The sequence below is a fragment of the Homo sapiens genome, chromosome 6 (genome assembly GCF_000001405.40).
Source record: "Homo sapiens chromosome 6, GRCh38.p14 Primary Assembly".
NCBI lineage: Eukaryota > Metazoa > Chordata > Mammalia > Primates > Hominidae > Homo > Homo sapiens.
This window is the reverse complement of record NC_000006.12, coordinates 165,341,667-165,359,471: the sequence shown is the minus strand read 5'-3', so window position 1 is coordinate 165,359,471 and position 17,805 is coordinate 165,341,667. Positions and strand designations below refer to the sequence as shown.

The 17,805-nt window shown below is 36.2% G+C and overlaps 1 protein-coding gene across 12 annotated transcripts in view; it reads left to right on the top strand.

Annotated features, from left to right (window-relative positions):
- Positions 1-17,805, top strand: part of PDE10A (phosphodiesterase 10A) — a 660,764-nt gene that overhangs the window by 628,581 nt on the left and 14,378 nt on the right. For all 12 annotated transcript variants that reach the window (XM_011535387.4, XM_017010194.3, NM_001385079.1 and 9 more), the window contains one exon: positions 15,970-16,081. In XM_011535387.4, the coding sequence (XP_011533689.2) occupies positions 15,970-16,081 (112 nt within the window). The remainder of the gene's footprint in view (positions 1-15,969; positions 16,082-17,805) is intronic.

Below are 17,805 nucleotides of genomic sequence, written 5' to 3'. Positions count from 1 at the left end.
AAACAGGGTAAAATACTACACATGATGCGTGTTTCTTGCCAGAAATCATGGAGAGCAAAAACATGGACGTATTCAAAGCACTGTCTGTTCCAAATCCTATGTCCATTAGAAACATTCTTCAAAAAAGGAGGCTGAAATAAGGACATTTTTGTGATAAATAAAAGCTGGAAGAATATGTTGTCAGCAGACAGGAATAACATGACATACTAAAGGAGAAACCTCAGAGTGATGAATTACCAGATGAAAACTCAGTCTGTAGGAAGGTAAAGTAGCAAATATGTAGATAAATAGAACATATTAACAGAATACTGTTTCTTCTATTTTTCTAAAAAATGAATGAGTGGTTCAAGCAAAAATAATACTAGGGTAAGATAGGGTTTGTATCATATGTAGTGATTAAATATGAAAACAGCACAAAGGATGAGACTATGTAGAATTATAGTTCTATATATTCTATAGTTATAAGTTTCTTACATTTGTGAAGGGTAGAGTGAAGTGTTAAGTGGAAGAACATTAATTTTCAGTAGATAAGTATGCATATTATAATCCCCAGGGAAACTGTAAAAAGAGTAAAAAAAAGAGATTTGCTCTTTTTACAGTTTCCCTAGAGATTAGAATATGCATATTTATCTACTGAAACTGTATAGCTTTTAAAAGTAGACAAAAATATTGAATAGTAAAAGTACATTTGATAAAACCACAGGGAAGCAGGACAAGAGGAGCAAAAACAGATTCAACAAATAGAAAACAAATCCCAAGATGGTACATTTGAACCTAATAAAACCAACAATTAAATTAAATATACATAGACTGAATATCTGAATTAGCCAGAAATGATCAGACCAGCTAAATAGCAAGACCGAGTTCCATGTTGTCTATGACGTATGCACTTTAAGTAGAAAGATTTGTTGAAAGCAAATGATAAAGATATACCATGGCAACAGCATTAAAAAAAAAAAACTGGTGTACCTATATTAAAATTGTACAAAATAATCTTTAAGATAGGAAACATTGCCAGATATAAAGAGGTCAAGTTTACTCTGAAATGGTCAATGTACAAAAGACATAATAAATGCAGAATGTACATGCACCTAATAACAAAGCTTCAAAAACAAACGAACAAAAAAACACAGAACTAAAAAGTAAACAAATCCAAAATCCTAGTTGGAGAGTTTTATATCCCTCCTTAAGTAACTTACAGAAGAACTATGTAAAAGTTCGCTAAGGCTAACAGAGATCTAAACGACACTATTGTGACCTAATTTGTCAATAAATTTCAAAAGATTGAAGTCTTAGGAGTATTATTTTACCACAGAGGAATTAAATTAAAAATAATGATAAGCTATCTGGAAAACCCCAACCATTTGGAAAGTAAACAGTATACTTCTAAATAACCCATGAGTCAAAAGAGACACTCCACGGGAAGTCCGAGAATACCTCAACCAGAATGACAGTGAAAACAAACTATATCAAAATCTGTAGGATGCAGCTAAAACAGTGCTGAGAGGGAAATGTATAACTTTCAATGTGTATGTTCATCAGTGATTTAAATCCTTAAGCAGCTAGAAAAAAAGAGTAAATTAAAGCCTAACTTGTGGGAAGTAAATAATCTGGATAAGAGAGCAATAAAACATAAAGCAAGCAACAGAAGGAAGATTCGAAATGCCAGTAGTTCTTTGAAAAGACTATTAAAATGGATACAATTCTGACTAATTAAGGAAAAAAAAGAAAATATTAACACCAATTGCCAATGTTGACAGTGAAAGAGGGGATAGCACTTAGATTACATTGGGATAATAAGAGAGTATTATAAATAATATGCTAATAAATTTGAAACTTAGATGAACCGGATAAATTTTTTGAGAAATCCAGCTTACTATACTTGAACCAAAAAGAACTCTGAATATTTCATTGAAGAAATCTAATCTTAAAACAAACAAACAAACAAACCACCCATCCCTCAGGACCAGGCCTCAACAGCTTCATGTGGGGTTGCTATCAAACAATCTTGCACAAAAGCTTTCCAAAAGAAGGACAAGAACCATTTCCTACCTTATTTTATGAAGGCTAAATAATCCTGATTTCCAAAGTCTGTCAAAAACATCACAAAAACAGTAAATTCAAGTTCAGTATTCCCTTTGGATCTAACTATAAAACTCATGACCATATATAACTGTAAAAGTATAACTGTAAAATTCATAACAAAATATAACATGTTCAATCACATATAACAAGATCATATGTCATAACAAGAATTTTATTGCAGGATTAGGAAACTGGCTTAACATTTCCAAAATTCACCACAACAGAATGAAGAAGAGACATCATATGATTATTACAATAGATGTAGAAAAAGCATCTGACAAAATTACACCTCCATTTATGAAGGCCAAAAATCTCAGAAAACTAGGAATACAATGGAACTTCTTTAATATTGTAAAAAGTGTATGAACACATCATAGCCCCCGTGATGATAGTTCATATATTAAGTAATACCCCCTCTGTCTAGTTCTGTAGTACTCTGAATTGGAGGTCCTAGCCAGTGAATTATAGAAAGAAATAGAAATGAAAGGCATAAAGATTTGAAAGAAAAAAGTAAATCTGACTTTATTTTTAAATTACATGCCATCTACTGAAAAACACCTAAGTCATCTCCAAAAAATGTACTAGAATTAATAAGCGAATTAAGCAAGTTTACAGGCTATGTGGTCAACATTTTTTAAAAAATCAATTATATTTTTTGTATATGAACAACTGTCTTTTCTGCAAATGGTTCTTTACCAGTTTTAGTTGGATGAGAGACCTAAATATAAGAATTAAAATTATAAAATTTCTAAAACAAAACATGGGAGAAAATCTTCATGACCTTAGGGTAGGCACAAAAATGGATGAACCTTTAAACAAATAAATGACAGATGAGACTTCATCATGCTAAAAAACAAGATCCTTAAAAGGTACCTTTAAGGAAATGAAAAGACAAGCCACATAATGTGAGAAAATATTCTCAGTATTTATGTTTGACGAAGGTATTATATAACTTTGTAAAGTCAATAATAAAACAACCCAAGAAAAAAATTATATGAAAGATTTTTACAGAATTTAAAGCCAATAAACACATGGAATTTTCTCAACATCTCTAATCATAAGGTAAAACCAGGGTGGTGTATGTACCATTATGCACCCACTAGAATGGCCAAAATTACAAAGACCAACATTATCAGTTGTTGGCAAGTGATATTGTTTGGCTGTGTCCCCACCTAAATCTCATCTCGGATTGTAATCTGCATGTGTCAAGGGAGGGGCCTGGTGAGCGGTGATTGAGTCATGGGGACAGATTTTCCCTTTGCCATTCTCATGATAGTGAATGAATTCTCACCCAGATCTGGTTGTTTGAAAGTGTGTGGCACCTCCCACTTTGCTTGCTCTCTCTCTCCTGCAGCCATATAATACTTGCTTCCCTTTCACCTTCGCCATGATTGTAAGTTTGCTGAGGCCTCCCCAGCCATGTGGAACTGTGAGTCAATTAAACCTCTTTTCTTTATAAATTACCCAGTATCAGGTAATTCTTTATAGCGGTGTGAAAATGGACTAATACAGCAAGGATGTCAAGCAGCTGAAATACTCATATATTGCTGGTAAGAGTATAGAATTTGTACAGCTGCTTTAGAAAACACCTTAGTTGTTTTGTTTTTATTTTGTTTTGTTTTAATAAAGCTGAACATGTTCTTATACTGTGTTCTAGCAGTTCACTCTCAGGTATTTTTATCCAAGAGGAATGAAAGTGTACTTTCACACACAGGCTAGGACACACATTCATAGCAACATTACTCTTAGTATATCCCACCTGGTGGCAACCTAAATGTCCAGCAACAGGGGCTAGATACACAACTTTGGACATTTAAACAATGGAATACTGTACTATTCAGCAATTTTTAAAGTTATGAACTCTGAATCATGAGACAACATGGTTGAATCACACAAATGTTAGTTTGAGCAAAGTGGTTACATACTACTATATGATACTATTGTAATGCAGTTCTACAACAGGCAAAACAATAATGTTAGTGATTGTGCTGGAATTTAAACTGGCAGTTGCTGGGGTTCGATGAGGGACATTGACTAGAAAACGAGGTTTCTGGGTGATAAAAACATTACTTGTCATCATTGGTGTGGTCATTACAGACTGCATATATTTTCATACTCACTAATATCCTTCAAATTTATGCATTTCATTCTATATAACATAACCTAAAGTATAAAAAAAGTATGATCTATAAATCTGCATTTTGTAAAATACAAAGCATTTTGTTTGAAGTATTTTGTTCTTAAGATGTCGATTACCTCAGTATCACTTTAAAGGAAATCATTAAAAGATTAATATGGAATGATCCTTAATTCACCAAGTGAGATCTTATCTCACTGTGAGGTGATTAGGAATTGATAAGCTCATGGAAGCAATCCACAGAATTCTACATTATAATGAGTAAAGTTATAATCTACTTAAGAATTAATAATGAGTTCAAAATTCACACATTTACATTGTTGTGATGGCTAATTATGTAAGGAATTGCCTAACACAAGCCATTCTTTGCTGTCATATGAGATGGACTGTGTAGAATTTGGTCACTGGAAGGCTTTTACCACCAGCGTAGAAATGCCTTCATGGCTATTGGAAACCTTTCTCTTCTCCTCACCATTTTCTAGAGTTCCTTATAACACTCGAGTTAACACAGACATCATTTCCCCTGTAACAAGGATGTGGACTCCTCCACCTGTCCTTTTCAAAGATTTGGGTTTGCTTCCCATGTTCCCTAGGTGGCACCATCTATATCTTTACAGTTGTTTCTCCCATCTGAAGTCTGCAGATGGACACTTTACCTCAGTTGTAGAAATAACTCAATTGGAATTCAGTAACTCAGTTGAACAACTGATTTGAATTATTCAAATAACTGAATTCCCATCTGTGCCGATGTGAAGATACCATCTCCAGCTTGGAGTGGCTTTTATATCTTAACTCCTTATTTTCTTGTTTGGACAATTCATGTTCAAAAGAAACAAGATTAAGTATGCTCTTAGCTGATGTCATTGGCCTTAGGACTAATGTGGTTATCCAATGGACATTTGCCTCCACTGCTGGTTGTTCTTTATTCAGGATGGCTGATGAGTTTTCTCCATACTATTCAAAAAGGATACTTCTCCAAAATTATTTTTTTCTCTGTTAAGTTACGGTCTTAAGTCAGAAATACACTTCCAGACTGCTTTTCTTCACTATACAATTTACCTTTCCTTATCAATGTGGCATCATGCCTTTACTACCAATTCATCTTTTCTTTTGGAACTTAGCTGTTATTTCTGATGTGGGCATTTATCTTAGCCTACTAATTTTCCATCTTATTTGAAACTATAATTCTTTTTTACATTAACCAATTTTATTTCTTAAAGCAATTTTAGATTCACAGAAAGATTGGGTAGAAAGTACAGAGTTCCTCTATATCCTGGTCCCCACACATGGACAACTTCCCCCACTGTTGGTATCCTGCACCAGAATAGTACATTTATTACAATTAATGAACCAACATTAAATCATCATTATCACCTAAAGTCTGTAGTTTACATTAGGATGCAGGCTTAATGATGTGTACCTTCTATGGGTCTGGACAAACGTATCCACCATTTTAGTATCATATGGAGGAATTCCACTGCCCTAAAAATCCCTTGTGCTCAGCCTATTCATTCCTCACTCTCCGCAACTCCTGGCAATCCCTGATCCTTTTACAGTCCTCATACCATTGCCTTTTCCAGAATGTCATATAGTTGGAATCATAGAGTAGTTGACTTTCAAATTGGCTTTTTCCACAAAGTAATATGCATTTAAGTTTCTTCCATGTCTTTTCATGGCTTGATAGCTCATTTCTTTTCAGCATTGAATAATATTGCATTGTGTGGATGTACCATCATTTATTTACCCATTCATCTACTGAAGGACACCACTGTTGTTTCCAAGTTTTGACAACTATTCGTAAAGCTGCCTATACATCCATGTGCAGGTTTTTGTGTAAACATAAATTTCCAACTCCTCTGGGTAAGTATTAAGGAGCATAATTACTGGGTCATATTATAAGAGTATGTCTTATGACATACTGTATGAAATACTTATGAATAATTATGAATTATTTCATAATTCTGTATGAAATATACCAGACTCTTTTCCACAATGGCTGTACCTTTTTGCATTCCCACCAGCAATGAATGAGAATTCCTCTTGCTCCATATCCAGCATTGGGCATTGTCAGTTTTCTGGATCTTGGCCTTTCTAATAGATGTGTAGTGTTATCTCATTGTCTTAATCTGCATATTTATGATGACATATGATGTGGACCATCTTTTCAAATACTTATTTGCCATCTTTATATATATTTTTAGTGAGGTGTCAGTTCATGTCTTTAGCCCTATTTTTATATTTGGGTGTTTTCTTATTGTTGAATTTTGAGGGTTCTTTGTATATTTGTGGTAACAGTCTTTGATCAGATATGCCTTTTGCCAATGTTTTCTCTCGGTCTGTGGCTTGCCTTTTTACTCTTTTGACAGTATCTTTTGCAGGGCATACATTTTTAATTTTTAATGAAGTCTAGCTTATTCTTTCATGAATCATGCCTTTGTGTTGTATTTAAAAGTCACCAAATTCTGGATGAACTAGATTTTTCTTCTATGTTATATATCTGTGTTACAGTTTTGTGTTTTATATTTAAGGTTGTGATCCATTTTGAATTAAGTTTTCTAAAGGTTCTAAGGTCTCTGTCTAGATGCATTGTGTTTTTTTTTTTCATGCAGATGTCCAGTTGTTCTGGCACCATTTGTTAAAAATGGAACTATAACTTTTAAAATGCTTGTTGTTTATGAGCTTGGTAAATATCCAACTTAGTTTCATTGGTTTTATACTTTTAATGGATCAATTTATCTGATATTGCTTGAAACTTTATAGCTAATATATGGTAATATTTCTTAGGTGATCTTTTTTGGAGATGTCAATTATAATTACTATCTTGGGTAGTTGATGGATGACAGTCAGTGGCCTCTCTCTATCCAAAATTAATACTAAAACACAGAAGGAGTGTTTATTTCATTTGGAGAAATAAATGGCAGACTTGGCCTGAGAACTCAAGTTGCCCAATGTATAGAGCCAGGCATCCTTATTTGTATTAAGAATCAATGTATTTCTGTACCATAAGTAGATAGAAAGGTGCAACTTATAAATGCATTTTCGTTTAGTGGAAAAATTAATACTTAAAGTTAATATTTTTAGAATAATTCTCAAATTGTCTGGGTGCAGTGGCTCATGCCTGTAATCCCAGCACTTTGGGAGGCCAAGGTGGGTGGATGACTTGAGGTCAGGAGTTCGAGACCAGCCTGGCTAACATGGTGAAACCCCATCTCTACTAAAAATACAAAAATTAACTGGGAGTGGTGGCAGGCACCTATAATTCCAGCTACTTGGGAGGCTGAGGCAGGAGAATTGCTTGAACCTGGGAGGCAGAGGTTGCAGTAAGCTGAGATTGCACCACTGCACTCCAGTCTGGGCATCAGAGTGAGACTCAGTCTCAAAAAAAATTCTCAAATGTTATATTTTCATTATTTATTTTATGGATATTTTGTGTTAAAATTAGAGTGACCATGCTCCACAGTTTGCCTCGATCAATCTCAGCTAACACATGTTGAGCTAAAATAATTCATAGCAGTGCTGGCTTTTACTCTCAAAACTGTATTGGCTTGAACATAAATTATGTGGCATACCATCCTTGTTGCAATGATGGAATGTCATGTAATGGAAGGAGTCACATTCTGGGCTTTTGTGTAGTGGTAAGGCCCAGAGGTATGGATAACTATGACAGTGTCTAGCACATAGTAGGTGTTCAGCAAATATTTCTCAAGTAAACAAATAATCCAAAATAGCAAGTAATTTGAATTATAGGTTGTATCATGTGGTCATATACTCATGTATGTCTTTGATTGTTGGCATTTTTTGTCCTGGTAATTTTTTTTAAAAAATTTCATTCTTTGTTTCATTCATTCTGGAGTTACATTATCTTGACTTTTGCTGGAAGTCCTAATCTTCTGACACTTGCTTCCCACCTTTTGTCCTTACCAGTGGCCCTTACCACCTACCCCTCACATTTACTATGATGTCATTAGCTATTATGCCATTTACTCATATTGACATTGTGACCACAACTGTGATTAAAGACACTAGGTATTTTTTATGATATTTTATTTTAAAAATGAAACAACCAAAGCCCAATTGTGTATAAAGTCATTGTCATGTGTGTTTCAAATGCAGATGAATAATTTGTTTACATAAGACATACAGTGCAGACTTCACAAATACCTTACACTTAATAATAATTTTTTTTAAACTTTATAAATGGCAAAGACTGACAAGTGAATTTGGGATCCTAGAAATCGATTCTTAGACAGTGTATTAGTCCGTTCTCATGCTGCTAATAAAGACATAGCCGAGACTGAGTAATTTATAAAGAAAAGAGGTTTAATTTACTCACAGTTTAGCATGGCTAGGGAGGCCTCAGAAAACTTACAATCATGATGGAAGGGGAAGCAAACACGTCCTTCTTCACATGGCAGTAGGAGGGAGATGAATGAGTGCCCAGCGAAGAGGGAAGCCCCTTACAAAACCATCAGCTCTTGTGAGAACTAACTCACTATCATGAGAAGAGGATTGGGGAAACTGCCCCCATGTTTCAATTATCTCCACCTGGTCCCTCCCATGACAAGTGAGGGTTAGGGGAACTGCAATTCAAGATGGGATTTGGGTGGGGACACAGCCAAACCATATCATTCTGCCCCTGCCCCCTTCCAGATCTCATATCCTCACAATTCAAAACACAATCCTCTACTTCCAACAGTCCCTCAAATTCTTAACTAATTCCAGTGTTAACTCAAAAGTTCAAGTCCAAAGTCTCATCTGATACAAGTCCCTCCCACCTATGAGCCTATAAAATCAGAAGCAAGTCAGTTACTTCCTAGACACAATGGGGGTACAGGCATTGGGTAAATATAGCATTCCAAATGGGAGAAATTGGCCAAAACAAAGGGGTTACATGCCCCATACAAATCCAAAATCCAGTAGGACAGCCATTAAACCTTAAAGTTCCAAAATGATATACTTCAACTCCATGTCTCACATCCAGGTCATGCTGATGCAAGAGGTGGGCTCCCACGGCCTTCGGAAGCTCTGCCCCTGTGGCTCTACAGGATACAGTTACCCTCCCGGCTGCTTGCATGGGCTGGCATTGAGTGTCTGCAGCTTTTCCAGGTGCACGATGCAAGCTGTAGGTGGATCTGCCATTCTGGAATCTGGAGGATAATGGCCCTCTTCTCACAGCTCCACAAGGCACTGCCCCAATGGGAACTCTGTGTGGGTGCTCTGACTCCACATTTCCCTTTCACACTGCCCTAGCAGGGTTCTCCATGAGGGCTCTGGCCCTGCAGCAAACTTCTGCCTGGACATCCAGGCTTTTCCATACATTCTCTGAAATCTAGGTGGAGGTTTCCAAACCTCAATTCTTGACTTCTCTGTACCCTCAGGCCCAACACCACATGTAAGCCACCAAGGCTTGGGGCTTGCACCCAGTAAAATAACAGCCTGAGCCATACATTGGCCCCTTTTCGTCACCACTGGAGTTGAAGCAGCTGGTAAACAGGGCACCATGTCCCAAGGCTGCATAGAGCAGGGGGGCCCACGAAACCATTTCTGCCCCTTGGGCCTCTGGGCTTGTGATGGGAGGAGCTGCCATGAAGGTCTTTTACGTGCCCTGGAGACATCCCCATTGTCTTGGTGATTAACACTCAGTTCTTTGTTACTTAAGCAAATTTCTGCAGCTGGCTTGAATTTCTCCCCAGAAAATTGGTTTTTCTTTTCTACCACATCATCAGGCTGCACATTTTTCAAACTTTTATGCTCTGCTTTCCCTTGAATGCTTTGCCACTTAGAAATTTCTTCCACCAGATACCCTCAATCATCTCTCTCAAGTTCAAAGTTCCACAGTTCCTAGGGCAGGGGCAACATGCCACCAGTCTCTTTGCATAGCAAGAGTGACCTTTATTCCAGTTCCCAACAAGTTCCTCATCTACATCTGAGACCACCTGGACCAGCCTGGACTTCATTGTCCTTATCACTGTCAGCATTTTGGTCAAAGCCATTCAACAAGTCTCCAGGAAGTTTCAAACCTTCCCACTTCTTCCTGTCTTCTGAGTTGTCCAAGTCTCTAGGAAATTCCAAACTTTCCCATATTTTCCTGCCTTCTGAGCCATCCAAACTCTTCTTACGTCTGCCTGTTACTCAGTTCCAAAGTCGCTTCCACAGTTTCATGTATCTTTATAGCAGCACCCAACTCTCTGCAGTATCAATTTACTGTATTAGTCTATTCTCATGCTGCTATGAAGAAATACCCAAGACTGGGTAATTTATAAAGGAAAGAGGTTTAATTGACTCACAGTTCTTCATGTCTGGGGCGGCCTCAGGAGACTTACAGTTATGACAGACGGGGAAGCTAACACATCCTTCTTCACGTGGCAGCAGGAGAGAGAAAAATGAGTGCCCAGCAAAGGGGGAAGCCCCTTATAAAACCATCAGCTCCTGTGAAAACTGAATCCCTATCACAAAACAGGAAGGGGGAAACTGCCCGCATGATTCAGTTATCTCCACCTCATCTCTCCCACAACATGTGGAGATTATGGGAACTACAATTCAAGATGAGATTTGGGTGGGGGACAACTATATCAGACAGTTTAATTCTAGCTTATGAAAGGATTTGCTAGGAACAGAAAAGAGAGAGAGAGGAAACGTAATGCAGGGCCACCAATCATCTGTGAACTGCTTGATTTCTGCACTGAAATTTCCCTTCAAAGCACTTTTCCTGACTACAACTAAAAACAAATGTCATGTCTGGAAACCAGCTCTGAACTCAAGCCAAGGGTAGGCAAAAGTAGAATTATTGTTTTTTGTTGAAATTAGCAAGCATGGTCCCATTATGGCTAAATAGAACCAGGTATAGTCTTAACTAAGAACCATTTCAGCAAATTCAGAAAAGACCATGGTGCGTTTTAAGCTATGATATCAGATAAAAGTATCCTTTTAAGTATTAAGATGACAAATATGGAAGTTGCTGGTAGTTTTTAAAATTTTTACTTTCATGTATTTCATGCAAGAACTGCCTTTCGTAAACACAAATTGTAAAGATAAACTAATTTCATAATTTGAAATGGCAGCTTAAAAATCATAATTTCTCTTATTTTTGTTATCTTTCTAAAATGAAAATGTTTATTCTCTTAGTCCCAGATAATATTTGTACCCTTCAAAAGCAATCCCTTTGCTCCACTTCCCTTGAAGTCTTTTCTTAATTTAGATGTACGTGCATGTCAAAGAAAGGGTACAGGTACGTGCACGTCAAAGAAAGGGTACAATATTAAACACTTTAACAATTCTTTGTTAATTCTTCAAATAATTCAGAAATAGAACTTGAAAAGTTCTATATTTTTACATAGCTATTGCTGTGTGCTTTGAAGAACAACAAATGTGTCTATGTGATGTGTTACCTGTTTTTTATATATATATATGCCATAATGTAGTTTCTTTAGCATTTCCCAAATGTGGCAGCAGCCTCCAGCCTTTACCTGCTGTAGGACTGTAAGTGCATAAAGGCCTCCCTCTGCCAGGAATGTTTGATGTCTCAACTGAAGAACCTGAAATGTGGGGAACTGAAATTCTAAAGCAAGATCACTAATGTTCCCATTTGGATTAAAGTTATGTATGGTACTCTGTGAGACCATGTAAAGGTTGTTAACTCTAGGAATAATACTCTGGTATTAACTTTAATAACAGCAGTTCCCTCTGTGGTAGTCATTTACCTAAGATTCATTTTCCATTCGTTTATAATTTATTTTTCTCTCTGTAATGGAGAAAAATGTATTTTTAAAAGAAGCAACTTATTTCTGTGATGGAAAAAATGTATTTTTAAAAGAAGTAACATTTAGGGTTTTATTAAGATTTTAGAACTTAAATTTAAAGTATATTTTAGTGAGATAATTACTATATCATGTTTATACTTATATGAAAGTTATTTATGTTATTGGAAACAGTAAGATTTTAAAATATTTTCTATGATTTTGAGTATGCAGCTGTTCAAATAATACTTTCAGAAAAACTGTATTATTCTTAGGCTAGTTTAATGTTTACTAAATTACTCAAAATAGGTCACATTTTGATGAAGGTATAGTAGTTATTACAGATATGATTTAAATTACTCAACCCAATGATTTAAAATCCCTTGAAAATGAGTTTAAAAGCAAGATAAAAAAAAAAGCATTAAGGTGATAATTTAGAGAAAAAAAGAATTGAACCTAGTTTCTTTTCAAATTCTATGTGTTACTTTATTTTAAAGTAAAATAATTAAAATGAGGCTAGATGACAGCTTCTAAACAAAACATCCACTGTACATCCCCCACCTTTGCTTTTTAGTTAACCGCTTGATAACACTTAACCACTCTCACAGTAATAATTAAGACTACCTCATAACAGAATTCTGGTCTTTGCTTATACATCAGTATACTTTTGAATACAGAAATTCAAAAGAAATTTCAAATAATCATTATAAAATTAGAGAATGGGTGTTTCTTCTTTTCCAACAAAATAGTATATCCTTGGCTGGCCAGGTTTACAGAGTGTGTGGCGTGGGATTGTGGGCAGTGTGGGAGGGCTGGGCTTCCTTCTTGCCCATCAGTAACTCATCTGAAGTACTACTGCAGGCTGTGTGGTCTATTTTGCCTTCCTTTGGTAAAGTTCTGTGATTCCATGATCTTCTGATGTGGGAAGAAAATCTTGAAATAGGATGGCACTTAGCAGGCAAACATGCACGCTGCGGAGAGGTGCCCGCCTCTTTGAGGTTGGAATATCTGCACCCCTGTGATAGAGCCTGTGCTCTTTATCTGCTCCACTTGATCTGGGATAATTAATACATGGCAGTCGGGGAGAAAGGAGGGAAAAGGAAACGAAGACGGGAGAGAGAAATGCCTTGTCTTTATAACTCTTATGGGTGTTAATAATTTGCATTTGGCTCTACCTCTAATGTCTGGAATCCTCCTACTCCCCCTGTCCCACTACTGTCACCATACTTCAAGCTGCCCTCACCTCTCATCTGAACTACTGTAGGGTTCTCCTAAGTGATCACTCCGAACCTGCCCTTGCCCCTTCACAGGTCTATGAGTCATCTCCACCCAGCAGACCTGAGTGATCCTCTTTAATACCTGTATCAGGCCACTCCTCTGGGAAAAGACACCAAGATTTTACCATCAAACTTGGAATAAAAGTTAAACTCCTATCTTGTCTCCAGCCTGTTTCTCCAAACTTAACTACGTTCCATGTTTCACTTCATTCACTGTGTCGCAGCCATAATGGCATTTCTTTTTGTTCCTCAAACCTGCCTTGCTTGTTTCCACATTAGGACTTCACGTGCACTCCTCTCTGCTGGACCTTCCTCCCAGATCTTCACGTGGTAGCCTCTCTTTATTGATTTATTGATTTATTGATTTTTACCCAGCACTTGCTTCATGAAAGTTTTGACCTGTTGACTGTCTGCCTTGCCCTATTAGGACATTATTACTCTGAGAAAAGGGTCTATTTGGTTCTTTGCTGTAACTGCCAGATACATGCAGGCATTCACAACTTTTGAGGATAAATGAATGTAGTTAAACCTTCTGAAATTATGTGATTAAGAATCGTTTTATCATAGGCATTGTGTTGGGCTCCTCCTTGATTGTTTTTAGCGACTAGGTTATATGATCTCAAACCAAGAGTAGGCTTAGCATGAACATGATCCTTTCACAATTGGTTATTAAAGCATATTTGGAGTTAAGGATCTACCTCAGTTAGCAGTCAGTTCTACATTCCATTCATGGATAGAAATAAAATGTTGATCCCAATTAATATTTCTGTATAGCCATGGCCATCTAACTGGTTTGGAATTGGGAGTAAAAAAATGAGTACTTACATTTACTAAAGACATTTGATGCCAAATTTCTAATCTGTTTTATTTTTTGTGCTTTGTCTAAGTAATTTTGACAGTGAAATCTAAATAACTGTTTTATAATCTTTTCAGTCCTTATATTGGCAACTTTATGTTGGGAATAATTTCCAGCAAGAAAATTGCTTTCATGTGTTTTATAATGCCCAATTCTATTGACATTTCTTTTGTTTTACAGATTTATGAAAGTTTTTTGAGATAAACCTTATTAGATTATTTCACCATGATATACGTTATTTTGGTGAATATAAATTAATAAGATTGAATTATTTTAAACATATGAAATATTTGTAAATGGTAGTTTTTCACATTCGATTTGTGTTTAAATGAATTTACCTGTTGAAAAAAAAGGTCATATATTCATTACGTTAGAAGTTCAAATCCAAAAATAAATATCTTCAAGACACAAAGTTCTTAGAAACGACCTCATTAAGAAAATCTTATAGTTTCCCTGACCACTTGTAAGGGATTTGGATCTTCACATAGCATCTGTTTGGGGTTACAGGAAGGGTATGCATAAATCTAACCAATGTTTGTAAAGTGATTTAGTCTAACCTGTAAGAGACCTGATACCCTCTTGAAATGTGCCCTTACAAAAAGCAAGGTAGTAAAACTGATGATTCCTTAAATGGGCTAAAGGAAGCGAGCTGACAGGAAATAAAGAACTCTGTGATCGATGGTATCATAAGAATCAGGGTATTCCAGGTATCCAAACATCTTAGCTTGAGCTAAGATGTGCTAAGAGCACTACTAGAGCAGAGTCTCTGCCAGATTGACAGATGGATGCTCCTAATGTGCTGTCTGCCTGGGTCAAGACAGGCTCGGGAGCTAGGGCAGGACTGTGCCCGCAGTTGGAGAATGTGGACCTAGAAGAGGTAAGGCAGTGGTTAACAGCAGGGGATTGCTTAAACTCATTCGAATTGAGATAGGAGCTAGAAGTAAGAGCATCGTCTCACTCATTACACACTTTTATATCCTTGTTGATAATTTGTCTTTTAAAATTATATAATTTGCTTTACAAAAGCTAAAGTTGTACATTAAACTGTCTTAATTACTACCACTTAATTATTCTGTTAAGTAGAGACTTCACTTAGGGTAGCCACATATCACAAGACCAAATCTATTCAAATTGCAGGGGATATGTCTTTGATTTTTTTTAAGTTATTATTTTTCTTCAAGAGGAAAGATTAAACCAAGCCATATTTAGAAAATAAAGTCAGACATGGAGCACCTAGTTATGAATGCAAGCAGCTGAAAAGGGAAAAGTCATTTTGGTTGAAAGGCTGGTGTTGAAAAGAAATATCTGCTAATGAGAAGCACAGTGTTTGGAGGCTGCATCCAGCTCACACACTTGCACGGGGAGAGTGAGGAACCAGGTTGCACAGCTACCTCCTCCTCTGGCCTTGCCACAAATTCCTGTCCCTTTAGAAAAGTCATTTCATTTCTGTGCACCTCAGACTTTGCTAATATAAAATGAAAGGATTGGGATAGATTTTCTCTTAAGACGTCTTCCCACTCTAAATTTCCAAAATTCAATGAAAATGAAAGCCTGATCCATAGCCATAAAAGTGTACCAGGGGATTTAGATGGCAGCCTAGTCAGAGCCTACATTATATTTGATTTCTTCAGTAGCATTGAGGCAACAGGAACATATGATGCACTCCTCACGGGACTTGTGATAGAAGTGACTCTTGTTCTTATGATGAAAATGACACTAATTTTTAATTCCATTTTACTGTCCTGGCTGTCACTTCTGTGTGCTCTTTAATGAAGTAATACATACTTAAACTTCACTCCTGAAATACAGAAGTCTTTCTAGTCCTTACTATAAATGTGCAAATGCTATGCTGACCAGTCTTATATTGTTGTGTTCTAGAGACCGTGTAATTGGTTTGATGATGACTGCCTGTGACCTTTGTTCTGTGACAAAACTGTGGCCCGTTACAAAATTGACGGCAAATGATATATATGCAGAATTCTGGGCTGAGGTATGTCCTTGATTCTTATATTGACATAGATAGTGAGGAGAAATAAAACGTATGGATCAATTGCTAAGAATACTTTAGTTGTTCATGTTGATAGTTATTTCAGAGAACTGTGGTGAGTCACATACTGAAGGATTTAGCACTTATGCAGATACAAAGAGAGAATGATCATTCTTTTACATATTACTTACATGTGTGTCTAATTCTCTGAGCTCAACTGAAAGAGTTTAGGAACTTACTCACTGAACAGTAGTATAACAGTTATCTTACTTAACAGCTGATCTTTTGTTCATTCATTCAATAAACATTACTGGCCATCTACTTTAGATAGGCACTGGACAAAGTACTCAGAGGGTCCCATAATACAGGATATATCCACCTGCAGTTAAAAATTCAGGAGAATAATTGTTTTGCACCATAGACATTGAGAATATGTAAATATAACCAATAGCTCACCTGCAAATTATGTGTTCTGCAGAATGTGTGGAATATTCATTCATAATACTCCTGAAACAACACGTAAATGACTTTTATTAACGCCTTTTCTTGACTGACTTATCTAATTTATCAGTGATGTGCATTGTACTGCTCAATTTGCTGATGGAATTGTATGTAAGTAAGTAGAATATCATTCTCCCATCCAAATGAGTCACGGATACCTAGGCCTTTGCATATTCAAAAACTACTCTATGAAGAAAGCTGTAAATCTTTTGAGTACCTCTTCTGGTTTGAATAAATAAAAGTAAATTTGGAGGACAAAGCAGCTGATAATTCAATCGTATATCTCATTCATACAGAAGAATGTATGTAAAACATAAACAGCAAATCATTCAGCCACAAGTTTAGTGGGAAAGGTTTATCATGTTGAATTATTTCATAATAATAAAGCCAAAGTATGTTTACTGTATGAGGATCACAGACCTTGAGTTGATTATACTCCCGGCATGATTTCTCCAGAATGCTTTACACATCGCATATGCGTGGTCTCGCATGAGCTTTTTCTTTATTTTATTGTGTATGTGTCAGAACCTAGTTACCATCAGACTCAAGTAGGAAGATTGATTTCAATGCACAGTTGACCCTTGAACAACACGGGTTTGAACTGTGTGGATCCACTTATATGTAGATATTTTTCAATAAATATATTGAAAGATTTTTTTGGAGATCTATGACAAAAATACAGAACAACATATCCTAGAAATATAAAAAATTTAAGTATGCCATAAGTGCATAAAATATATGTAGATACTAGTCGATTTTATCATTTACTACCATAAAATATACAAAAATCTATGATAAGTTAAAATTTATCAAAACTTATATACACACTTATAGACTGGAGAGAAATGTAAACAAACAGATGCCGTGTTAAATTGTAACTGCGTAAAGTTAACCATAGTACATACGGCAGTACTGTAATAATTTTGCAGCAACCTTCTTTTGCTGTTACGGTGAGCTCAAGTGTTACAAGTATCCACTTAAAATGCTGTGTTTAAAATGCTCTGTGATGCTAATTGTCTCTGAGCTATTCGTCTCTCCAGTAAATTGTGTATCACAGTAAAAAGTGATCTCTCGTGGTTCTTGCATAGTTTTCATTGTGTTTAGTGCAATACCTAAGTCCTCCGTAACACCATAGCACCTATACAGAGTTACACTAGGATGCTGGAAGTGCTCCCAAGAAGCAGAGAAAAGTCATGACATGACAAGAAAAAGTTGAGTTGCTTGAT